This window comes from Homo sapiens, chromosome 17, assembly GCF_000001405.40.
Source record: "Homo sapiens chromosome 17, GRCh38.p14 Primary Assembly".
In the NCBI taxonomy this organism is placed as follows: domain Eukaryota; kingdom Metazoa; phylum Chordata; class Mammalia; order Primates; family Hominidae; genus Homo; species Homo sapiens.
In genome coordinates, this window is record NC_000017.11 from 59,169,682 (window position 1) to 59,195,954 (window position 26,273).

General features: G+C 45.9%; 1 protein-coding gene and 1 pseudogene across 3 annotated transcripts in view, besides 1 other annotated feature; one reads left to right on the forward strand and one right to left on the reverse strand.

Annotated features, from left to right (window-relative positions):
* The window catches only part of PRR11 (proline rich 11), a 50,964-nt gene that overhangs the window by 13,936 nt on the left and 10,755 nt on the right, over nucleotides 1-26,273 (forward strand). For all 3 annotated transcript variants that reach the window (XM_024450828.2, NM_018304.4, XM_047436387.1), the window contains 6 exons: nucleotides 67-199; nucleotides 15,373-15,523; nucleotides 15,759-15,881; nucleotides 23,811-24,053; nucleotides 25,076-25,174; nucleotides 25,650-25,762. In XM_024450828.2, the coding sequence (XP_024306596.1) occupies nucleotides 72-199; nucleotides 15,373-15,523; nucleotides 15,759-15,881; nucleotides 23,811-24,053; nucleotides 25,076-25,174; nucleotides 25,650-25,762 (857 nt within the window). In that variant the 5' untranslated portion in view covers nucleotides 67-71. The remainder of the gene's footprint in view (nucleotides 1-66; nucleotides 200-15,372; nucleotides 15,524-15,758; nucleotides 15,882-23,810; nucleotides 24,054-25,075; nucleotides 25,175-25,649; nucleotides 25,763-26,273) is intronic.
* On the reverse strand, nucleotides 1,178-13,359 carry SPDYE22P (speedy/RINGO cell cycle regulator family member E22, pseudogene; annotated as a pseudogene).
* Nucleotides 12,697-13,198: an enhancer, noted in NCBI's record as "H3K27ac hESC enhancer chr17:57259739-57260240 (GRCh37/hg19 assembly coordinates)". NCBI's record gives its function as "activates a minimal SCP1, AML or CMV promoter by ChIP-STARR-seq in primed H9 embryonic stem cells {active_cell/tissue: H9 hESC(primed)}" and the evidence as "EXISTENCE:reporter gene assay evidence [ECO:0000049][PMID:30033119]".

Consider the following 26,273-nt stretch of genomic DNA (forward strand, 5'->3'; position numbering starts at 1 on the left):
GATTTGTGTACTTTCTATATGTATATATTATTCTTCAATTAAAAATGTAAAAAAATTTCTCTGCAGAAATCATGCCCAAGTTCAAACAACGAAGACGAAAGCTAAAAGCCAAAGCCGAAAGATTATTCAAAAAAAAAGAAGCCTCTCACTTTCAGTCCAAGCTAATTACACCTCCTCCTCCACCACCCTCACCAGAAAGGTAAGGCTTAATGTGGAACAGAAAAAATATTAGAGAGATCTGATCAGTTTAAGATAGAGTTTCAGATTTAGCAAATAAAAATAGAAGGCAGGCCGGGTGCAGTCATTCATTCCTGTAATCCCAGCACTTTGGGAGGCCGAGGTGGGTGGATTACCTGAGGTCAGGAGTTCAAGACCAGCCTGGCCAATGTGGCAAAACCCTGTCTCTACTAAAACTACAAAAATTAGCCTGCGTGGTGGCGGGCAACTGTAATCCCAGCTTCTCGGGAGACTTAGGCAGGAGAATTGCTTGAACCAGAGAGGCAGAGGTTGCAGTGAGCCGAGATCACACCACTGCACTCAAGCCTGGGCAACAAGAGCGAGACTCCCTCTCAGAAAAAAAAAAGAAGGCCCAGTTAAATTTGAATTTCAGATAAACAATGAATAATTTTTTCATATAATTATGTCCTATGTGACATTTGGAATATATTTATACTAAAATTATGCATGCTTTATCTGAAATTAATTTTTTATTTTAATTTTTATTTATTTATTTACTTTTGAGACTGAGTCTTACTCTGTCACTTAAGCTGGAGTGCAGTAGCATGATCAAGGCTCACTGCAGCCTTGATTTCCTGGGCTCAAGAGATCTTCCCACTCTGTCTCCAAAACAAACAAACAAAACCTCTAGCTTGGGATTGGCCTTCTCTTCTATTATTTTTCTTTTTAAAAAAAATTTTAAAAAATAGATGTTGATGCTGTGTTGCCCAGGCTGGCCTCAAACTCCTGGCCTCAAGTGATCCTCCCACCATGACCTCCAAAAGTGCTGGGAATGTAGGTGTGAGCACTGTACCCACCCTCATGTTTTTTTCTACATAAAAAATAATGCAGGATTATCTTCTAGAGCTAATTAGTATGATCAAATAACCAAAACCCCATTAAGGAAAAATGTCACATGACAGCAAATAATCAATCCAGACCAATATGATCACACTCACTGTGAAGGTGAGAAAACTTCATCTTTATTACGTTTCCCCAACAGACGCACTGCATTGTTCTCTTGAAAACACACAGCTCATGTCCTCCTTTAAAACCCACATCCTCTTTAAAGTAACACACGGCCAGGCGCGGTGGCTCATGCCCGTAATCCTAGCACTTTGGGAGGCCGAGGCGGGCGGATCATGAGGTCAGGAGATCGAGACCATCCTGGCTAACACGGTGAAACCCCGTCTCTACTAAAAATACAAAAAAAAAATTAGCCGGGCGCGGTGGCAGGCGCCTGTAGTCCCAGCTACTCGGGAGGCTGAAGCAGGAGAATGGCGTGAGCCCGGGAGGCAGAGCTTGCAGTGAGCCGAGACAGTGCCACTGCGCTCCAGCCTGGGAGAAAGAGCGAGACTCCGTCTCAAAAAAAAAAAAAGTAACATACAAACATGACAATACAAAGTAAAAAATTACATCTGAATTCTCACATTTCAAAAACATACAGTAAACATCAAATAAAAATTTATTTTTATAAGAATTTAGGGGAACTATCATGTAGCTATAAGTGTAATACATATATTAAGTATCATAGATAAAAGGAGTGCTCCCTTCAGCAGCACATGTAACCATAGATACAAAGATTTAAATATAAAAGATTTAGGATAAAAAGAATCCTCTCTTAAAAAGGAAAACAAAATTATATGTATATAGCAGCTATGACACCCATCTCACAACTTTACAGGAACAGTATCCAAAAATACCAGTATTTTCAAAATATTTAAAATAAATGTAGTAATAATTCTATGCCCATCTTTTTCAAAATAAACCAATAAAATATATAGTATATATTAGACATGTTAGTATATCTAAGACATGTTAAAAATTACAACTGAATTCTCACAATTCAGTCACAAATCTAAACAGCAAATAAAAATTTCTATGACAGGAACTTAGGGTAACTACCAATAGCTATAAATAGAAGAGATTATTATGTAAGTATCATAGATAAAAAGTGTACTCGCTTCAGGGGCACATATAATAATACAGAAAACATTTAAAGATAAAAGATTTAGGATAAAAAGGATTCTCTGTTGAAATGAAAATTATCTTTATATATATATATACATAACAGCTATAACTCATGAAAAAATCTACAGGAACAGCATATTTTCAAAAGTACAACAATTTTGAAGCTATTTGAAATAAACCTATTAATAATTCGATGGCCAACATTTTCCAAACAAACCAATAAATGCATAGTGTGTATGAAGCTATCTGTTACAGTCTATGGCACTCATATTTTTACAAAGAATTCTGTGCTAATCTGAGTGTCTGCACTGTGCCTTCAAATGCTCTTGGACTGTGGCAACCAAGTCCATAGGAAAGAGGACCTCCAGGTTCCGCCCCAGGGAGGTTGGAATTCAGCGGTATAAAAATAGAGGTGGTGGTGCAGAAAGGGGTGGAACCAGAAACACCCCTGGTTTCTCACTGTTCTCTATGGATTCCTAGAAGTGAGAGGTGACAGCGTGCTGGCAGCCCTCGCTCGCTTTCCGTGCCTCCTCACCTGGGCGCCCACTCTGGCCAGCCTTGAGGAGCCCTTCAGCCCGCCGCTGCACTGTGGGAGCCCCTTTCTGGGCTGGCCAAGGCCGGAGCCAGCTCCCTCAGCTTGCGGGGAGGTGTCAAGGAAGAGGCACGGGCGGGAACCGGGGCTGCGCGCTGCGCTTGCATGCCAGCTTGAGTTCTGGGTGGGCGTGGTTTGGCGGCCCCCACACTCTGAGCTGTCGGCTGCCCCGGCCAGCCCGGGCAGTGAGGGGCTTAGCAACCGGACCAGCAGCTGCAGGGGGTGCGCGGGGTCACCCAGCAGTGCTGGCCCACTGGCGCTGTGCTCGATTTCTCGCCGGGCCTCAGCTGCCTCCCCGTGGGGCAGGGCTCGGGACCTGCAGCCCGCCATGCCTGAGTCTTCCCTGCCATGGTGGGCCCCTGCACCACCTGAGTCTCCCTGACGAGCGCCGCCCCCTGCTCCACAGCACCCATCGCATGCCCGCCCAAGGGCTGAGGAGTGTGGGCACATGGCGCAGGGCTGGCAGGCAGCTCCAACTGCCCTCCCGGTGCGAGATCCACTGGGTGAAGCCAGCTGGGCTCCTGAGTCTAGTGGGGACTTGGAGAATATTTATGTCTAGCTAAGGGATTGTGAATGCACCAATCGGCACTCTGTATCTAGCTCGAGGTTTGTAAACACACCAATCAACACTCTGTGTCTAGCTCAGGGTTTCTAAATACAGCAATTGACACTCTGTATCTAGCTAATCTAGTGGGGACATGGATAACTTTTGTGTCTAGCTCAGGGATTGTAAAGGCACCAATCAGCACCCTGTGAAAATGGACCAATCAGCTCTCTGTAAAACAGACCAATCGGCTCTCTGTAAAATGGACCAATCAGCAGGATGTGGGTGGGGCCAGATAAGAATAAAAGCAGGCTGCCCAAGCCAGTAGTGGCAACCAGTGGGGGCCACTTTCACGCTGTGGAAGGTTTGTTCTTTGGCACTTTGCAATGAATCTTGCTACTGGTCACTCTTTGGGTCCGCACTGCCTTTATGAGCTGTAACACTCACCATGAAGGTCTGCAGCTTCACTTCTGAAGCCAGTGAGACCACGAACCCACCGGGAGGAACGAATAACTCCAGACGCCCTGCCTTAAGAGCTGTAACACTCACCGCGAAGGTCTGCAGCTTCACTACTGAAGCCAGCAAGACCACGAACCCGCCAGAAGGCTGAACACATCTGAACATCAGAAGGAACAAACTCCGGACACGCCACCTTTAAGAACTGTAACATGGCGAGGGTTGGCAGCTTCATTTTTGAAGTCGGTGAAACCAAGAACCCACCAATTCCAGACACAGAAGTACCCCCCTGGTTCTGGGAGGACGACTTGATCACTCTATTCAGCTCCGTCTAGAACAGTCCAGGTTCTTCTAGATGATCTGCACAAATGGCTCCTCTCCTCCTTCCTGGTGTCTGTCATTAGCAATGGAATAAAGTTCCTGCTGAAAATTCACATCTCCCCTGGATCCGGTGTTCTGGAAGTGAGAGAGAGGATGTCATACTTAAAGGAGGCGGCTCTCTAGACAGGAAGGTTATTCACGTCCCACATCAAGTCTAACTAGAGTTCAGAGCAGTTGAGAAATCAAATTTTATCTCCTGTCCTTCATTCTATAGCCTGCTTCTGAACCATCGTGTTCAGCTGTGAAACTCACAGTTTGGTAACCCTGACTCCAAAACTCACTCAATATACCCAAGGTCAGCCCCAGTGATCTGCTTCATAGCAAGGACTTTGGGTGGGTCTGCCCAGGGAGTAGGGCACCCTCAAAGAATGTGGCTTTGGACTTCATCACAACTGGGGCCTTTTGCATTACTTAAGAGCTAAACTCGTAACCATGCTAGATCCGTTTCTAATGTGACAACATCACAAACCCTGAGTCCAGAAGCCTAATCCATAATCCTACCTCCTCATGATGAAGTCTCATGCTCTGTGCTGAACGTGGTTAGCTGCACAAGATGTGAACCAAAGCTTCACTGAACCCTCGACCCAAATCGGTAACTCAAGTGTGTCAATCATAATGAACCTCCCCGAACTCAGTATTTATGATTATTTTTGAGTCAGGGTCTCACTCTGTTGCTCGGGCTGGAGTGCAGTGGCAGGATCAGGGCTCCCTGCAGCCCCAACCTCCCAGGCTCCAGTGATCCTCCCACATCACCTGGCTAATTTTTGTATTTTTATGGAGAGGGGATCTCGCCATGTTGCCCAGGCTCGAAGCCGGATCAAGCAATTGGGTTCCTCGGATTTCCAAAATAGACCCCAATATTCTGCCTTTACCCCAGAGGACACAGATGTACCTTCCCTCAGGCTGATGACCTCAGGCCTCACAGTCCCTGGAGCTCTAGGAAACGCGGTGCGATCTCGTGCCCACACCCAGTGCTCTGGGTTATAAGCCTGGATCTGGAAAAACAAACGCCCCTTAAGAAGATGGGGACTCCCCAGGATACCCCTCCCTCCCCTTGTCCAGCCTCCAGCCCACCTGATTCCTCCCCACCTCCTCCACCTACCCCCACCCCGCCTACCTCCTCCAACTACTCCAGGGAAACCCAAGCCCTCCAGCGCATGGAACGGAAGAACTGGAACCGAAGTTTATGGAACAAGGGTATCTGGGAGTGGTTCTTCCCGTACAGGAAGTAGAAAATGTTTCATTTGGAGGCCTCGTTGTCCTCCTCCATGTCATTGGCCAGGTAGCTGGGGACAGAAATCAGGTTGCCGCTCAGGGACACCACCAGGAGAGACCTCTGGCTGAGGTCAGCTTCCCAGAGAGGAGGGCAGGGGACGATCCTCAGCTCAGGACTGGCACCCACCCTGCAGAACCATGCCTTCCTCAGGAGGGCCCTGATTGTCAGAGACCTGCTGAAGGGCGTCTCCCACTCCTTCAGGATGAAGACAAAAACCCAACTGGTGGCCGAGAGTGGTGGCTTACGCCTGGAATCCCAGCACATTGGGAGGCTGAGGCAGGAGGATCATTTGAGGCCAGGAGTTTGAGATGAGCCTGGGCAACATAGCAAGACCCTCGTCTCTATAAAAAATGTAAAAGACACGCCAGACGTGGTGGCTCATGCCTGTAATCCCAGCAATTTGGGAGGCTGAAGCAGGTGGGTCGCTTGAGGCCAGGAGTTCGAGACCAGCCCCATATCTACTAAAGATACAAAAATCAGCCTGGTGTGGTGGCACACCTCTTAGTCCTAGCTACGCAAGAGGCTGAGGCACAAGAATTACATGAACCCAGGAGGAGGAGGTTGCAGTGAGCCGAGATTGGGCCACTCCATTCCAGCCTCAGAGGCAGAACAAGACTCTGTCTCAATAAATAAATAAATAACTGTCCAGGTGTGGTGTCACAGCCCTGTAGTCAAAGCTAATCCGGAGGCTGAGGTGGGAGGATCACTGGAGTACAGGATATGGAGGCTGCAGTGAGCTATGATCTCACCACTGCACTCCAGCTTGGGGGACAGGGCAAGTCTGTCTCAAAAAAATAAAAGAAATTGAATACATTGATATTGTGCCAAGACCCTGCCTTCTACAGGCATCTAGTCTAATGGGACTGGGAGTAATCAGGGCAGATGACGTAATCCCAATATCACATTATAATAGGATGTAACTGGAGAGCTACAAGCATGTAAAAGTTGCAAGATGAGGGAAGGCATCACAGAGGCTATGGGGTGAACTGACTTTAAGGAATGGGTCCTTCCCTTCAGAACCACATGTGTGCGGGACACCCAGACAGAAAACACAAACGCAAAGTCGAGTGGAGGGCATTTGGAAAGAGCGGTGAAGCCACACCAGGAAACACCAAGATGGCGAGCCAGTTTGGTTGTAGAGATTATAGAGAGGGTGGAATTTGCACTGTGGACCCTGGCCTCAATTTAGAAAGACATCAGCTAAGGAAGTTGTTCAGGTGGGCAGTGAGGGTGTTGTGCTTTGGAAAGACGCTCAGGCTGCACTAGGAAGCCCCCAGGCTTGGGGAGAGACTCCAGGAGGCCCCAGCAGGGAGCATTTGACAGTGGATTCGAGTGATGCAAGGGGGACCTGAACTGTTGCCTCTGTCATGGGAACCCGGAGGAGGTCGATGGCGTTTGCAGTTGATATGGGAAGGAGAGAGACAGAAGAACCAGAAATGTCTGCTTGCTGGGGGAAGCATCGTGTCCGCTCCTTTGCTCCTTTTCTTCTCCCCTTAGGAGCGGTTTATGGTTCCTTTTGTTTTATTCTTTTATTTGTACACTGGCGTTGGAATTTGGTTTTTTTGGCTTTTTTTTTTTTTTTTTTTTTTTTTTTTTTGAGAAAAAGTCTCGCTCTGTTGCCCAGGCTGGAATGCAGTGGCTCAAACTTAGCTTACTGCAATGTCTGCCTCCTGGGTTCAACGGGTTCTCTTGCCTGAGCCTCCCGAGTAGTTTGGATTACAGGTGCACACCACCATGCCTGGCTAATTTTTCTATTTTTAGTAGAGATGGGGTTTTGCCATGTTAGTCAGGCTGGTCTCAAACTCCTGACCTCAAGTGATCTGCTTGCCTCGGCCTCCCGAAGTGCTGGGATTATAGGCGTGAGCCACCGCGCCCAGCCTGAGTTTCTTTTTAGAAACAGCAGTCTAAAAACAAGATAGTATAATCCTCTTTTTTGTACACAGAGTAAAGAGGACAAATAGGTGCAAGAATAAATGAAAGGCTGGAATCCCACTTCCCCCGCTGTCCCAGGGTATTGGATATTGACAGATAGGAGGAAGCAAACCACTCACAGAGCCAGGAATAAATGAATGCATTGGTATTGCCGGGAGAAGAGGCCGGCGCGGCTAAAATATGCTATGACCATAGCCAGGAGATACTGGTGGAGAGAAAGGAACACAGAAAGGGAGAGGTCACATCTTGGGAGAGGAAGATCGTGGAGACAGTGGAATGGGGGTCTAGGGAGGGTTTGCCCATCAGAGAAGGGACCTGAGTGTTGGGGTGACTGTGCTCATGTGGAAATTGCGGGGTGGTGGGGTATTTGAAGGTCGGATGCAAATCCGAGAAGCTGGAGGAAGGCATGTTGGTGATGCTCCCAGGATGGTGGGCTCTGATGAGATCTTTGAAGGAGTGTGTCTAGGTCGGCTGGTATCAGGAGGGTCTTTTGTGTGCCAGGCAGAGAACTGTCCCAAAGAACTGAGAGTAAAGGGGCTAGGAGCTTCAGGGCTGCGGCCTGACTGTGGCCCAGAGCTCAGATCCCAAATGACCCATAGGAGAGGCAGGGGCCACTCATTCACTCAGCAAGAGACCAGCAGAGTCCTGAGGGAGATGCTGACAAATAATAAAAAGACCAAGAATAGCCGGGAGTGGCAGCTCAAGCCTGTGATCCCAGAAGTTTGAGAGGCTGAGACAGGAGGATCAAGTGAGTCCAACAGTTCTAGAACAACCTGGGCAACATAGCAAGACTGTTTGTATAAAAATTATTCGAGCATGATGGCATGTGCCTGTACTCCCAACTGCTCAGGAGGCTGAGGCAGGATTGCAAGAGCCCAGGAATTAGAGGCTGTGGTGAGCTGTGATCATGCCACTGCACTCCATCCTGTGGAACACAGCTAGATACTGTCTCGAAAAAAAAAAAAAAACAGGTGGGCACCAAGACTCAAGACTGTGGGAGCCAGAGGGGCACAGTGGCTCACATCTGTAATCCCAGCATTTTGGGAGGCCAAGGCAAGCGGAACACCTGAGGTCAGGTGTTCAAGACCAGCCAGGTCAACATGGCAAAACCCCATCTCTACTAAAAACACAAAAATTAGCCAGCCATGGTGGTGCATGCCTGTAATCCCAGCTGCTTGGGAGGCTGAGGCAGGAGAATGCCTTGAACCCAGGAGGCTTCAGCTGCAGTGAGCCAAGGTTGAGACACTGCCCTCCAGCCTGGGCAACAGAGCGAGACTGTCTCACAAAAAGAAAAGAAGACTGTGGGAGCATCTGGTGGGAAGTGCTGGAGGGAGAGAAGAGAGGAACTGTGGGTTTAGAAGCTGCACCCTCCCCCTGGCAGTGCACTGAAGCAGGAACACGGTTCCGTGGAGAACAAACTTACCTTGTCTGACAACCTCAAATCTTTGTCCCAGGCGAGGAAGCTTTTAATGACAGGATCCTCTGTGATTAGAGAGTAGATGTCAGCTTGAAAAGCAGGACAGGGTTTCCGTGGGAGCAGCAGGGCAGCAAGGAGAAGTGTGTCTCCCAGGGGGAAGTCTCAGGATTGCTGCCACAGGTGAGGTGGATGGGAAAGAGGAGAATGACTTTCACTGGGCAAGGGAGAGAGGCTCCCGCTCTGAGACTCCCCTGAGAAGAGGCTGAAGGAGGCCCTGGGTGTGAGAATCTACAGGATGTAGAGCTGGCAAAAAGCCAGAATGCCCTCCCAGCAGACACAGAGGGACCACTGCAGAGTCATAAAGGAATTCCCATCATTTCCTCATGAGACAGTCACATCAGGGTGTGACTATGGCCTAGGTATCCCCCTCTATGGATGGAGACACTTAGGTTTAGAAAAGTCAGCAAGAGACATTAAGTTTCAGAGGGCACAGCTGAAGCCGCTTTCTTTGATTTTTTATTGTGATTTATTGATTTATTTATTTATTTATTGAGATGGAGTCTCGCTCTGTGGGCCGGGCTGGAATGCAGTGGCATGATCTCAGCTCACTGCAACCTCGGCCTCCCGAGTTCAAGCGATTCTCCTGTCTCAGTCCCCTGAGTAGCTGGGATTACAGGCGTGTGCTACCACGCCTGGCTAATTTTTGTATTTTTAGTAGAGATCAGATTTTACTATGTTGGTCAGGCTGGTCTCTAACTCCTGACCTGCCTCGGCCTCCCAAAGTGCTGGGATTACAGGTTTGAGCTACTGTGCTTTTTCTTTTGAGACAGAGTTTTGCTCTGTCACCCCGGCTGGAGTGCAGTGGTGCCATCATAGCTCACTGCAGCCTCAAAGTCCTGAGTTCAAGCAATCCTCTTAACTCAGCCTGCCAACATGCTGGGATCTCAGACGTGAGCCACCGCACTTGGCCCAAAACCAAGCTTTCTTATCCCAATTGCCAACCTAATCCTAATCTTCTATCATCTCCTAAGTGTCCCTCATGAGTGATCACTTCTGAGTCCTCCCGCATGGAGAGCTCACCCACTGGGGGCATATTTTTCCCATTGGAAAAGTGTGGTTATTGGAAGTTTCCTCTTTTTTAAAAGAACAGGATTGGAGGTGCTCTCTGGGGTGTCCTCCTACCAAGCAGCCTGTTGAAAGTCTCGTGGTGCTCAGGGAGCACGGGTGACACTCGCCATTGCTTCAGCTTCATCTTGAGCCCACACAGCGTCTCCGCCACCCAGGTCTCCTCAGGCTCAGGGGCGAGCTCCTTCTCTGGCTCCTCCTCCGATGACTCCTCAGATTCGTCCGACCACTCCCTCTTCCTTTTCCAGCAAAGGGACCCACACAGGGGGCTGGGATCTACCCCAGGGGCTGAGTAAAGAAACCAGGCCACTGTATAATGCTTCTGCAATTGAACTCCTTAGAGCCAGACCCAAAACGCCAAACCACTCTCCATCCTCCCCAGCCTCGCAGACTGCTGGCTTCTCCAAGCCATCTTTCCGTCTTTCTCCTTTGCTGAACCCCATGAGCCGCTCCTTCCCCTCCCCATTCTTCCATCTCTCTGTCCTCAGAACACTTCCTCATTTCCTTCCCTCATCCCTAGTTCTCTGAGTCTCTCCTTTTTTTTTTTTTTTTTTTTTGACACAGAGTCTTGCTTTGTCGCCCAGGCTGGAGTGTAGTAGTGCAATCTCGGCTCACTGCAATCTCCGTCTCCCAGGTTCCAGTGATTCTCCTGCCTCAGCCTCCCAAGTAGCTGGGATTACAGGTGCCCGTAATAACGCCCAGCTCATTTTTGTTCTTTTAGTAGGGATGGGGTTTCACCATGTTGGCCAGGCTGGTCTCAAACTCCTGGCCTCAAGTGATCCGCCTGCCTTGGCCTCCCGAAGTGCTGGGATTACAGGTGTGAGCCACTGCACCCTGCCTCAGTCCCTCCATTCTTCCCACACACCTCCTCAGGTGCTCCTTCCTGACTTCTGGGCCCGTCCTTGTTTTTTTTTTTTTGTTTTTTTTGTTTTTTTTGCCACAGGGTCTCAGTCTCTCAGACTGGAGTGCAGTGGTGCTATCTCGGCTCAAAGCAACCTCTGCCTCCCGGGTTCTAGAGATTCTCCTGTCTCAGCCTCCCAAGTAGCTGGGAATACAGGCGTGCGCCACCACACCCGGCTAAGTTTTGTATTTTTAGTATTGACTAGGTTTCACTATATTGGTCAGGCTGGTCTCGAACAACTGACCTCAGGTGATCCACCCGCCTCAGCCTCCCAAAGTGCTGGGATTACAGACATGAGCTACTGCGCCCGGCCTTTGGTTTTCTTTTGAAACAGGGTTTTGTTCTGTCATGCAGGCTGGAGTGCAGTCGTGCAGTCATAGCTCACTGCAGCCTCAAAGTCCTGAGTTCAAGCAATTCTCTTGCCTCAGCCTCCCAGTGTGCTGGGATCTCAGGCATCAGCCACAGCACCTGTCCCGAAACCAAACTTTCTTTTTTTGTTGTTTTTTTGTTTTTTTGAGACAGAGTCTCTCTCTGTCACCCAGGCTGGAGTGTAGTGGCGCGATCTCAGCTCACTGCAAGCAACACCTCCGGGGTTCACGCCATTCTGCTGCCTCAGCCTCCCAAGTAGCTAGGACTACAGGCGCCCACCACCACGCCCAGCTAATTTTTTATATTTTTAGAAAGACTGTGTTTCACCATGTTAGCCAGGATGGTCTCGATCTCCTGACCTCGTAATCCGCCCGCCTCGGCCTCCGAAAGTGCTGGGATTACAGACGTGAGCCACAGCGCCCAGCCCAAAACCAAGCTTTCTTATCCCGAGAGCCAAACTTTATCAACTCCAGCCTAATCCTCTATCATCTCCTAAGCGTCCCTCATGAGTGATCACTTCTGAGTCCTCCCGCATGGAGAGCTCACCCACTGGGGGCATATTTTTCCCATTGGAAAAGTGTGGTTATTGAAAGTTTTCCTCGTTTTTAAAAGAACAGGATTGGAGGTGCTCTCTGGGGTGTCCTCCTACCAAGCAGCCTGTTGAAGTCCTCATGGTGCTCAGGGAGCACGAATGACACTAGCCGTTGCTTCAGCTTCAGCTTCATTTTGAGCCCACACAGCATCTCCGCCACCCAGGTCTCCTCAGGCTCAGGGGCGAGCTCCTTCTCTGGCGCCTCCTCCGATGACTCCTCAGATTGGTCCGACCACTCCCTCTTCCTTTTCCAGCAAAGGGACCTACATGGGAGGCTGGGATCTACCCCAGGGGCTGAGTAAAGAAACCAGGCCACCATGTAATGCTTCTGCAACTGATCACCTTAGACCCCGACCCCGACCCCAACCCCAAACCACTCTCCATCCTCCCCAGCCTTGCAGACTGTTGGCTTCTCCAAGCCATCTTTCTGGCTTTCTCCTCTGCTCAACCCCATGAGCCGCTCCTTCCCCTCCCCATTCTTCCGTATCTCTGTCCTCAGAACACTTCTTCATGTCCTTCCCTGGTCCCTGGCTCTCTGAGTCCCTCCTTTTTTGCTTGTTTTTTTGTTATTGGTTTTTTTTTTTTTTGTTTCGAGACAGAATCTTGCTTTGTCGCCCGGGCTGGAGTGTAGTGGTGCAATCTCAGTTCACTGCAACATCTGTCTCCCGGATTCCAGTTATTCTCATGCCTCAGCCTCTCAGGTAGCTGGGATTACAGGTATCTGCCATAATGCCCAGCTCAATTTTGTACTTTTAGTAGAGATGGGGTTTCACCATGTTGACCAGGCTGGTCTCAAACTCCTGGCCTCAAGTGATCTGCCCGCCTTGGCCTCCCAAAGTGCTGGGATTACAGGTGTGAGCCACTGCACCTGGCCTGAATTTCTCCATTCTTCCCATACACCCTCCTCAGGTTCTCCTTCCTGACCTCTGACCCTTCTTTTTTTTTTTTTTTTTTTTGAGACAGTGTCTCACTCTCTCACCCAGACTGGAGTGCGGTAGCACAATCTTGGCTCACTGCAACCTCTTCCTCCCAGGCTCAAGTGATTCTCCTGTCTCAGCCTCCCAAATAGCTGGGATTACAGGCGCGCACCACTACCACCTGGCTAATTTTTGTACTTTTAGTAGAGATGGGGTTTCACCATGTTGGCCAGGCTCGTCTTGAACTCCTGACCTCAGGTGATCCATCCGCCTCGGCCTCCCAAAGTGTTAGGGTTACAGGTGTGAGCCACTGCACCTGGCCCCCTTCCTTCACCTTAGTCAATCCTATCCCACCTCTTCTTCCTCCAGTCCCCTCACCTGATGGTCCCGACACTTCATCATCCACCACCTCCTGGAGGGGGTACCCTGAGGTGCTCAGCTGGGGGCTCTGCTCCTCATCCTGGGGGTGCGGTTGATGGCTGGTCATGATCTTTCCCAAAATCTATCCCAACCCACGGAACCTAGTCTCTGTTCTATCCAAGGCCTTCTTCTGGACTCTGCTAGGACCCAGAAGGTGTGTTATCAATTCTCGAGGCTGAGAGAAGTCAGGAGTGGAGAACAGCTCTGAGAAGATGCAGTTGTCCACTTGAGCTCCCAGATGCCCATGGAGTCCAGTCCTTCCAATCAGGAAGGTTGGAATCTCTGATGTCATTGGTCATTCCAACCTGGCAACCAGTTTGAAGAAAAACACATGTAACTGCCAGGCTGGTCTCTTGTCCTGGAGATCCTGGGTGAATGGTATCTCCTGCCACTGTCCCAACCTCAGACCACCATCCAAAAGCATCTTCAGGGTCTCCGCATCCATCTGTTCCCTGTCCCAGCAGAGGCTGTGTCTTCTCCACTCAAAGCCTGAAGCATTTTGGGGTCTCCTCTTCTCTGTACATGCCCATTTCAGAGTCCAGTCTGGTGGGAGAGGGAGGGTGGGAAAGAAAACTAGGGTAAGCAGAAACTATGAAACCTTACAAGTGTGAGATTATCATATACAAGAGATCCCAGGAACATTGACTTGATGAAAAAGTCACATCAGAGCACTCAATTTGGCAGAGCTTTTCTGCCGAATGTTTACTGACATTCACTGTCCGAGATTCTATACTGGGGGTACACGTGTCCTCTGCCGTAAGGCATCTTTGAGTCCAAGAGACATTTTGAGGCCTGAAAATCATAGGAAACTGCCCATGAGCTCACTCATATTTCCAATGGTGTCCCCAGTTTCAGGGAGTCCATGGATTACCTAAGGCCAGCCCCTCCAGTTCGGCTAAGAAACTCTAGTCTATATATTAAGTTTTGTATCATATGTATTGCTCTGAACTCAGAAATTTCCCTACCATTTATGGATTCTATGAATAAAATATCGCATGTACAAAAAGACTAAGTCGAAAAATCTCAGCTGTGCACAGTGGCTCATGTTTGTAATCCCAGCACTTTGGGTGGCCAAGGGAGGAAGATTGCCTGAGGCCAGCAGTTCAAGACCAGTGTAGGCAACATAGCATGACCCCATCTCTAAAAAAACAAAACCAAACCAAATTAGCCAGGTGTGGTGGCTGGCACCTTGTTCCAACTACTTGGGAGACTCATGCGACAGGAAGATCGCTTGAGCCCAGGACTTAGAAGCTGCAGTGAGCTATGATCTTGCCACCGCACTCCAGTCTAGGCAACACAGCAAGACGTTGTGTCAAAAAAAATTTTTTTGATAAAAAATAAAAGAGTTGGATGACATTCAGAGACCATCCAAAAAACCTGTCAGTTCCTGGCCGGGCTCAGTGGCTCACGCCTGTAATCCCAGCACTTTGGGAGGCCAAAGGAAGTGGATCACTTGAGGTCAGGAGTGTGAGACCAGCCTGGCCAACATGGTGAAACCCCGTCTCTACTAAAAATACAAAAAATTAGCCAGGCATGGTGGCGGGTGCCTGTAATCCCAGCTACTCAGGAGCGGGGACTGGAGAATCACTTGAACTCGGGGTGCGGAGGTTGCCGTGAGCCAAGATCGCACCATTGCTCTCCAGCCTGGGCAACAAGAGCAAAACTCCGTCTCAAAAAAATAAACAAAGAACCTGTGAGTGAGTTCCCATATGGCTTCCTAATGGGCTGTGGCTCTCCTAGGAGTCTCTTGCTCATGGGAAAGGCCCAAACTGAATGAGGAAGCAGATCCCATTGCTATGGAAGTCCCATTGGTAGGAAGCTCTGCTTTTCTGGAGTTCAAATTTCCATTCATGACGCTTTAAACCGCCAGAGCTGGGTGGGTCCTGACAAAACAGTTTGCTATCTCTCTCCTAGTTAACAGGCTTTCATATATTAGAAGATCAATGTTCTGACCCCATTAAAAGTTCTCTTTTGTGGAATGAAAAGCTCTGATTTAACCCATCTTCAAACCTGGTTTGCATATTCTTCTCTCTTCTGGCACACCACCATGCCTGATTAAGTTTTTTTTTTTTTTTTTTTTTTTTTTGGCAGGGACAGGGTTTTGCCATGTTGCCGAGGCTAGTCTTGAACTCCTGGTCTCAAGCAATCTCCTCACCTCAGCCTCCCAAAGTGCTAGCAGTAGAGGCATGAGCCACCACACCAGGCCAAGGCTATTATTCTGACTTAGGGGTTTTTTATTTGTTTCATTTTGTTTTTCCTACAGAGTCGGTATTTCTTCAATAGATATATCTCAAAGCAGAAGCTGGCTAACATCATCCTGGAACTTCAATTTTCCTAACATCAGAGATGCAATAAAACTTTGGACAAATAGAGTATGGTCTATATACAGCTGGTGCCAGAACTGCATAACCCAGGTATGGATGTGACATCCCTGTTTTCAGTGCTATAGTTTTTCTACACACTTGGTGTTTATATACATATGTGCTCAAGTCAGTCCAACCCTCAAGCTAAACTTAGATAAGATGAAATTATTGAGTCAAGTCTGCCTTTGCTTCTATAAAAACATACATCAAGTCACTTTCTGGTTCCTGTTTTCTTGTCCTTATCATATTACTCATAGGACTCAGAATTGTTTATTATTAATTTCAGAGTTTAGAAGTATTGAAAGACACCATCTTTCCATCTCGTATCTGCCACCGAGAACTTTACAGTGTAAAACAACAGTTTTGCATTTTGGAAAGTAAATTATGCAAGCTCCAGGAAGCACTGAAGGTTGGTATTGTCAAATAAAAAGCAAATCTGGAATTAGGTAAGGAGACACTTTTTTTGAAAAGACTATTGCAATAGGGAAAATGCTCAAGTCATAAGATTTATATCTCAAACATTAAGCGAAAAAGTTTTCTTTGTTAGCAAGGAATACAAAGGGTAGAACAAACTGGGTTATGGGGAAGTAAGATGAAGAGCTGGGATAATCTGATCAGATAGCTGATTGGATCAGGGAACATCTTTTCCTGAAGGTTCTTCAGCATACCAATGCTTGCTTAAGCCCAAGAATAGGTCAAGGTTCTAGGGCCTATGGGGAGGGCTAAATCCTGACTAAAGTTTGGTCAAGTTAGTAGATATATTGTCCAGATTGGTCAGTGGCAGTGAACAGTTCAGCTAATCACTTATGAGACAAAGAATGGGAATTTGGAGGGTCTGTGTCTGGCTTTGTCAGATAAATGAGGGAGCCATCCATAAAACTTATCTAACTGATGTGGAAAAAGTTGGTTCCACATCACTTCCAAAATAAAAAATTATTTCCTGGACATAAAACTGTGGGAAGATTTTTGTTTGTTTGTTTGTTTCTAGAGATGGGATCTCACTATGTTGCCCAGCCTAGACTCCAACTCCTAACTCCTGGGCTCAAGTGATCCTCCTACCTCAGCCTCCCTTAGTAGCTGGGACTACAGGCTTGCACTATTGCACCCACCTAGGATGGGGAGATTTTTTGGCCATCCTTATTTTCCAGAATCACAGAGCTCAGGTGAAGTTCAATATTGTCAGTATTAAAGCAGAAGATCTGAAAAAAATTTTGCCAGCTGTTTGTAATTTTTTTTTTTTTTTTTTTTTTTTTTTTTTTTTAGACAGAATCTCACTCTGTTACACAGGCTAGAGTGCAGTGGCATGATCATGGCTCACTGCAACCTTGACCTACTGGCTCAAGGGATCCTCCTGCCTCAGCCTCCCTTGTAGCTGGGACCAGAGGTGTGTGCCACCTGCCCGGCAAATTTTTTAGTTTTTTATAGGGATGGGGGTCTCACTTTGTTGCCCAGGCTAGTCTCAAACTCCTGGCCTCAAGTGATCCTCCTACCTCAGCCTCCCAAAGTGTTGGGATTGCAGGCGTGAGCCATGGCACCTGGCTTGTTTGTACATTTTTAAATAGCAAGTCAGACATAAAAATAAATTTATGCACAGCAAAATAAGATGCAAAAATATTTGCTCAAATATCAGGAAAAGGATTAATTATTGAATATATAAAGAACCACTACAAATCAATACAAAAAAGACCAACAACTTAGCAGTAAAATGAGGAAATAATATGAACACAGCATTCACCTAAATACAGGAATACAAGCCAGGTACAGTGGTACACACTTATAATCCCAGCTACTCAAGAAACTGAAATGGTAGAATCACTTGAGCACAGAAGTTTGAGGCCATCCTGGGCAGAAAGAAAAGGAATACAAATGGTTCTTAAATACATGAGTAGGGCCAGGCACAGTGACTCATGCCTATAATCCCAGCAGTTTGGGAGGCCAAAACAGGCAGATCATCTGAGATCAGGAGAATCACTTGAACCCGGAAAGTGGAGACTGCTGTGAGCCGAGATCGTGCTGCTGCACTCCAGCCTGGGTGACAGAGCTAGACTGTCTCAAAAATAAAATAAAATAAAAATAAAATAAAATAAAATAAATAAATACATGAGTAGGTGCTCAACTTCACTTAAGAGTGAATCAGGGGCTGGGCGCGGTGGCTTACCCCTGTAATCCCACCACTTTGGAAGACTGAGGAGGGTGGATCACTTGAGGTCAGGAGTTCAAGACTAGCCTAGCCAATGTGAAACCCCCTCTCTACTAAAATACAAAAATTAGCTGGGCTTGTTAGTGCATGCCTGTAATCCCAGCTACTCGGATGGCTGAGGCAGGTGAATTGCTTGAACCCGGGAGGCAGAGGTTGCAGTGAGCTGAGATCGCATCACTGCACTCCAGCTTGGGCAACAGAGCAAGACTCCATCTCAAGAGTGAATCAGGGCTGAGCGCAGTGGCTCACGCTTGTAATCCCAGCACTTTGGGAGGCCGAGGTGGGCAGATCACTTGAGGTCAGGAGTTTGAGACCAGCCTGGCCAACATGGTGAAACCCTGTCTCTACTAAAAATACAAAAGTTAGCCAGGTGTGATGGCGGGCACCAGTAATCCCAGCTACTCAGGAGGCTGAGGCAGGAGAATCACTTGAACCCGGGAGGCGGAGGTTGCAGTGAGCCGAGATCACGCCACTGCACTCCAGCCAGGGTGACAGAATGAGACTCCATTAAAAAAAAAAAAAAAAAGTGTGTCAAGACTAGGTGTGGTACCAGTGACAAAGCCTCAAAGAATATTTGCATAAACAAAATGTCTTTATTTTAGGCAGCAGGAAGAAAGAGAAAAGTTATCCTACTACCCCTATTAAGGCGACTTCCCAAACTCATTTACAGAACTTTTACTTACATCTCATTTCGCTAAAACATAGTCATGTAATTATACCTAGCAACTAGGGAACCTGAGGAATGTAATCTATCATCTGGATTACAGTGTGTCCGGCTAAAAGTCAGGTTTCCTATTACTAAAGAAGAAGGCAAAAATGTATATTGGGAGGCAATTAGTAGTCTCTGCCACACACAAAAAACAGAAATGCAAAATAAACTTCAATGAGTAATGCCTTTAGCCTATCAGATTGACAGAACAAACAAATCAAAGACCAAAAGTTTTGGAGAAACAGGTGCTCTCTTGTTATTGAGAATGGCCTAAATTGATAAAACCTCTGTGGGCTATAATTAATTAACATCTATCAAAATTTTTAAAATATATATCTTTTGATGCAACCAAATTTTGTACATATGTACAAAGTTATTTATTGCGGTGTGATTTGAAAAATAGCGAAAACTTACAAAGAAAACTGTCAAAGAATATGGGATTAATTTAATACATTATAATCCATTCATTCAATTTAATACTATGTAGCCGTTAAGAAGAATGAGGTAGTTCTGTATGTACTAATGAGGTATGATCTCAAGAACACACCATCAGTCCCCCTCCCCCAGGAAAACTTTTTTAAAGAATACACTAATGGCCAGGCGTGGTGGCTCACACCTGTAATCCCAGCACTTTGCAAGGCCAAAGTGGATGGATCACTTGAGGCCAGGGGTTTGAGACCAGCCTGGCCAACATGGCAAAACCCCATCTCTACTAAAAATACAAAAAATTAGCCTGGCATGGTGACATGCTTCTGTAATCCCAGCTACTCAAGAGGCTGAGGCAGGAGAATCACTGGAACCTGGGAGACACAGGTTGCAGTGAGCTGAGATCGCGCCACAGCACTCCAGCCTGGGCAACAGAGCATGACTGTGTCTCAAAAATAATAATAATAATAATAATAATAATAATAATACATTATTAAATTAAGTGTAAAGGTATATTCAGAACAGTGTTTATAGGATGTTCCCATGTATTATTAAAATGTATAACTTTGGGAGGCCAAGGTGGTTGGATCACTTGAGGTCAGGAGTTCGAGACCATCCTAGCCAACATGATGAAACCCCCTCTCTACTAAAAAACACAAAAATTAGCTGGGCGTGGTGGCGCATGTCCATAGTCCCAGCTACTCAGGAGGTTGAGGCAGGAGAATCATTTGAACCCAGGAGGCAGAGGTTGCAGTGAGTTGTGATCGTGCCACTGCACTCAAATCTGGGTGACAAAGCGAGACTGTCTCAAAAAATATTATTTGAGACAAAAAAAAAAATAGAATAATTTTTTTTGTTCGTTTGAGACAAAGTACCGCTCTGTCGCCCAGGCTAAAGTGTAGTGGCGTGATCTCAGCTCACTGCAACCTCCGCCTTCTGGGTTCAAGCAGTTCTTCTGCCTCAACCTCCCAAGTAGCTGGGACTACAGGTGCCCGCCACCATGCCTGGCTAATTTTTGTATTTTTAGTAGAGACAGGATCTCACCATGTTGCCCAGGCTGGTCTTGAACTCCTGACCTCAAGTGATCTGCCTGCCTCGGCCTCCCAAAGTGCTGGGATTCTAGACATGAGCCACCACACCAGGCCTAAATAAAATTATTGAGACTAGGTGGGACTCCAAAAATAAATAGCAAAAAAATTAAATTAAACATAAAATAAAACTAATTGACCAGTTGAGATTTTGGTTCTGGAAGTAAATTCATTGCTTTTTTGAATTCCTATAATTTTGTAACTTTGTCAGAGAAGTTTGCTGTGGGTGACAAGGCAGTATTCAAACAGACCTTAAAAATTAAATTTTTTAGCTGGTCATGGCATACACACCTATAGTCCCAATTTCTCAGGGGACTGAGGTGGGAAGATTCCTTGAGCCTCAGGACACTCCAGCCCACTGCATTCTAGCCTGGGCAACATAGTGAGACCCTGTCTCTAAAAAAAAAAAGTTTTCTTTTATTTTAAAAAGTCTAGAATGAATGTGTGTGTGTATGTGTGAAATAATTCTATAAACCTTCCCTTCTCTCCTTCACCTCTAGTGTACACACTCTACCTTTCATGACTTTTCTCCTATTTCAGCTCTCCTTATATTTTAACCCCAAATCACTAATCTCAATGTACCAGGGAGGAGGATGATATAGAATTAAGAATGGGCCAGGCACGGTGGCTCACGCCTGTAATCCCAGCACTTTGGGAGGCCAAGGCTGGCAGATCCCAAGGTCAGGAGATCGAGACCATCCTAGCCAACATGGTGAAACCCCGTCCCTACTAAAAATACAAAAAAATTAGCTGGGCGTGTTGTCACACACCTGTAATCCCAGCTATTCGGGAGGCTGAGGCAGGAGAATCACTTGAACCCAGGAGGTGGAGGTTGCAGTGAGCCAAGATCACGCCACTGCACTCCAGCCCTCTAGCCTGGGCGACACAGCAAGACTCCATCTCAAAAAAAAAAAAAGAAAAAAGAATTAAGAATGAAGCTTATGTTATTTCCTTCACTAAGAAAGCACCTAGAAGGCTGTATCAGTCAAAATTCTTTTTAGCCACAAGTGGCAGAAACACAGGGCAATCCGGCTTAAGCCCATAAAACCAGTAAGTCTAGGGTATGGCTGGATTCAGAGGCTCAAATGATATTGTCAACATTCTGGCTCTGTCTCATCTTTCAGTTCTGCCTTCTTTACAGTAAGTTTATTTCTCAGACAGACTCTCCCTTTGCACTAGCAACATGGCTGCTGGCAGCCTTAGATTCTTATTCTCATAACAGAACCATCTCAGCCAAGAGAACTTGGCCTGGGTTATGTGTCTAGTCCTTGAGTGAGTATCCTGACCAGATCACGTGGACTGAGGGAATGAAGGGAAACCCAGGTGCTTTTATACCAGAAGGAGGAATGGCTACAGGTGAGGGCTAGTCCCTGGGCCTGTTTGCCCCACTTCAGAAGCTCTGCTCTGTATTGCTGGGAGGGCTGGCTCCTACAGGATACATTCCTCAAGCTCCAGGTCACCTGGTTCCTGGTTATGATGGCCTATTGCGAGACACTGATGAGAGACTAGAGGGAGGGAGAAGGCAAGGAGTTTCCTCCCCTCCTCTTTACTGCATGATTTCTCCAGCAATGGTAGTTGTTGCCTTCCTGGCCCCATCTCCCACTGGATAAATACTCCATGTTTCTTTCTTTTTTTCTTTTTTTCTTTTTTTTTTTTTTTTGAGACAGAATTTCACTCTGTCACCCAGGCTGGAGTGCAGTGGCGCAATCTCAGCTCACTGCAGCCTCCACCTCCCGGGTTCAAGCGATTCTCCTGCCTCAGCCTCCCAAGTAGCTGGGATTACAGGTGCCCACCACCACGCCTCGCTAATTTTTGTGTTTTTAGTAGAGATGAGGTTTCACTGTGTTGTTTAGGCTGGTCTCAAACTCCTGACCTCAGGTAATCCACCTGCCTCAGCCTCCCAAGGTGCTGGGATTATAGACGTGAGCCACCGCACCCAGCTAATGTTTCTTGATTCTCTGGGTAAACCTACCTCCAGACCTCTGGATATACCACCTCCACCTTTTGTTTCTCCAGCCTCAGGAAGTTAATGCCTTCCTGCTGTTGCTAATCTCTAGATTGCCTCATGGTACCCAGTAGGCCTCTCAGCTCTTCCATTATAAATGTAACCAAGTGCCTGTATTACATTACCCCTCTTTTCAATATCCAGAGTGGTTTCTATTTTCCTGACTGATATATGCAGGAAAATATCCACTCCAAACTCCCCTAAGCAAGGCCCCTATGTCTCAACATTGTGCTCATTGGTCTGGAGAGAAGCTTCTGGAATTCCATCCCTGCTCCCAGAATTTGTGCCTCAGGATGAATTAGCCAAAGGAGAAAAAGGCAAGTCATTTAACTCCTCTGGGCCTCAGTTTCCTCCTCTATAAATTTGGGATGATACCATTTGTGGGAGACTGAATACATGGCAGCCTCCAAAAGGTATATTCAAGTCCTAATCCCCAGAACCTGTAAATACTGCCTTATTTGGACAAAGGGCTTTACAAATGTAATTAGGGTAAGGATTTTGAGATGAGGAGATCTTCCTGGATTATCTAGGTGGACCCTAAGTCCCAGGACAAGTGCCCTTATGAGAGAGACACACAGAGAATGCATACAGAGAAGAGAAGCAATGTGACCACAGAGATAGAGATTGGAGTGATGCAGCCACAAACCAAGGAGTGCTGACAGCTACTAGAAGCCAAAAGAGGCAAGGAACCGATTCTTCCCCAGAGGTATGGGAGGCAGTGAAGCTCCTACGACACCTTGATGACAGACTTTTCGCCTCAAGCACTGTGCGAAAATAAGCTTCAATTGTTTTCAACCACCAAGTTTGGGATAATTTGTTACAGCAGGCACAGGAAATTAATACACCGTTTTACTTCATAGGGTCGTTGTATTTGTTTGCTAGAGCTGCCATAACAAAATACCACAGGCTGGGTGGCTTATACAACAGAAATTTACTTTCTCACAGTCTGGAAGCAAGAAGTCTGTGGCTTCTTGGTTAGTTTCTTCTGAGGCTCCCTCCTGGGCTTGTAGATGGCTGTCTTCGCTCTATGTCTTCACACAGTCTTCCTCTGTGTGAGTACATTCCTGATATCTCTCTGCATGTCCAATTTCCTCTTACTGTAAGAACACCAGTTAGAATGGATTAGGACCCCCACCCTAACGGCCTCATTTTAACTTAATCACCTCTTTAAAGACCCTATCTCCAAATATAGTCACATTCTGATGTTCTGGATGTTAAGACTTCAACATATGAATTCTGGGACACAATTCAGTCCACAGTAGTCATGTTCCAGATCCTTTGCTTTATCAGTTTCTTGAAAGTACTATATTCTTGGCTGTATTAAGTATTTTTTTCCTCTGCAAGGAACTCTTCCCCTAGTCCTTATCTCCCTTCGTCTGCTAAGTCTCAATTTATTCTTGAGATCATGGCTAAATATCACTTCCCAAGCCTCCAGCTGTTCATGCTCATAGCACACTTCGTTGCTCTTATTGAAGTATTGTTTTGTTTCAAGTGTGTTTGTGCATGTTTGTTTGAGATGAGATCTCACTATGTTGTCCAGGCTGGTCTCGAACTCCTGGGCTCAAGCAATTCGCTGGATTCAGCCTTCCAAAGTGCTGGGATTACAGGTGTGCACCACCATTCCTGGCCTTCTGTGCATGTTTAATGTCTGTCTTCTGTCACCGAACTGTCAGCTCCATGAGGTGACACACAGGGCTCACATTGTACCTATAGTGCCTGGCATATAGCACATACAAAATAAACTAATGAATGAAATGAAGAAACTTATGATTATAAATGAGAAAATATCAGGAAGCACATGGTACGCTGAGAAAGCATTCAATACATGGTAGCTATTATTTTGATGACTCTCACCCTCAAGAATCAAATTAACTTGTTATTTATTTGCCAAATGTGATGTCTTCTTCCAGACCATCTCAGAAAGTTCTTCCTGTCCAAGCTGTGGTCAAACATGTCACATGAGTGGTAAACTTACAAATGTGCCTGCCTGCGTTCTGATCACCCCTGGAGACTCCAAAGCTGTGCTTCCTCCCACACTGCCACAGCCAGCCAGCCATTTTCCTCCTCCTCCTCCACCTCCACCTCTGCCACCTCCTCCACCACCACTAGCACCTGTGTTGCTCAGAAAACCCAGTCTCGCTAAAGCACTTCAGGTAGGTAACAATCTAGTAATGATATGTTTTGATATGTTTTGGTGAGTGTGTAATATAGGAGTAAAGCCAAGTGGCCTTTTAAGGCCAGGCTAATCAGGGCTTGGGCCAGAAGGCTATATTTTGTTCTGATTCCGTATCTTAATTATTGTGTTTTTAAAATCTCAGTTCCTGAGAAATTCCTAGAAGCTGGATTGAGAAATGAAAGTGATGTGTGTGAAACCCAGTAGAGTGGAAGATTTCTATTCGCTTCTCAGCATGGCTTTTTCCTAGGGAAGAAAACCTCCCTAGGAAACCAAATTTAGAATAGAAGATTGCTTAGAGAGTAAAGTCAGAACAAAGAGTTAGTGGATTCCAAAGTTTCATATCATTAGGCTGGAGAACCAATCTCTATTTCAGTTACTTATTTACCAAGGGGACCAGACAATTTGTGAATCACTAAGACAGGCATGACCCTGTTTTAAAATCTGCTGAATTTTCACTATGGATAATTTGGTTTAATGTAGCTGAATTAAATCCAGAGTCTTCCCAATCCTCACACACACACACACACACACACACACACACACACACAAAACAAAACCTGGAGCCTATTGTTATATTTGCCCTAATTATACCTCTCTGATTGTATACATTCTTGTTCTGTGGAAACTGAGTCATCTTTCTAGGTAATTCAAGCAAAACTTCACTTTAACCCGATTAACTCCTTCAACTCTTGTCTTATTATAATGACTCCCGGGGAAGATGCAATATTGCAGGAAACTAGTCCATCTCTTATTTGTTAGCAAAGTCTTAGCTTATAAAAACAAAATTGCGGGGTGGGGGAAGCCTTACATTTTGATGAATGCTTTTCAATGGGTGATAAAAATACGATTATTCTTGGTTGAGTAGAAAGAATATGACAGGTTCCTAGGGTAGATAAGAGTTACCTCTTAACTCTGAGTCTTTAAAAACTAGATTTGGATTTGCATTTCACCAGTTGTGCTGGTTCCAATTTGAATTCTAACCTTACCATGTATTTTAAGGCTGGACCATTAAAAAAAGATGGACCCATGCAGATAACAGTTAAAGATCTGCTGACTGTAAAATTAAAGAAGACACAGAGTTTAGATGAAAAGAGGAAGGTAAGATGTCATTGACCACATACATGCTCTTTTTGCTTTTAACAATATAGGCTCATGCCTATAATCCCAGCACTTTGGGAGACCAAGGTGGGAGGATCACCTGAGCCCAGGAGTTCAGGACCAGCATGGGGAATATGGCAAGACCTCATCTCAATTTGTATACAATTGGGGTCGGGGGTGCTGGAGGGAGAAGTCATTTCATTTCAAGTTAAGTTTTTGATGTTTTTATTTTAGTAGTTTTGGATTTCCCAACAAAATGTATATATTAGGAAATGATTTAATTAGGCAATTTTATCTCCCAACCCTTAGTCTGAAGAGGTAGAGACATCCTTTGAAGCTCTGGAATAAAAATTGGGTAGCATACTGGATATATCTTACACAAACTCAGCACTCAGATATTTGCCGTTTTTGCATGTTTACATTTTGAGTGATATTTTAAAATTTGTTTTAATAATGTCTCATTTTATAATTAAAGCTTATACCATCGCCGAAAGCACGGAATCCACTAGTTACCGTCTCTGACTTGCAGCATGTTACCCTGAAACCTAACTCCAAAGTGTTATCGACTCGAGTTACAAACGTCTTAATGTAAGGAACTGCACAGTACTATGCTCTACTACTACTTAAAAGAATGATATTGTTGTACAAAGGCCTAAAGAAAAGGAAAAAAAGATTTTTTGTGTGTATTTCTAATGTTAAAAGTTATATATGCTCATTATAGAAAAACTGAAATCTACAGAAAAGTTTAAAAAAGAAAACAAAAATTATCTAAATAATCCTATCACTGGAGATAGCCACTGTTAACATACTGCTGTTTATCATTCTAGTCTTTTTCTGGGCATATGGTTTATTGCCCCATTTAAAGATGCTGTTTATTATAAGATATGGCATTGATTTAATAACAGATTTTGGGAGAAAAAGATATACTATCAAGAATTTTAGGCTGGGAGTGGTGGGTTATGTCTGTAATCCCACCACTTTGGGAAGCTGAAGTAGGAGGATTGCTTGAGGCCGGGAGTTTAAGACCAGCCTGGGCAACATAGTGAGAGCCCCATCTCTAAAAAAAACTAATTAAATTAAAAATTAGCCGGATGCAGTG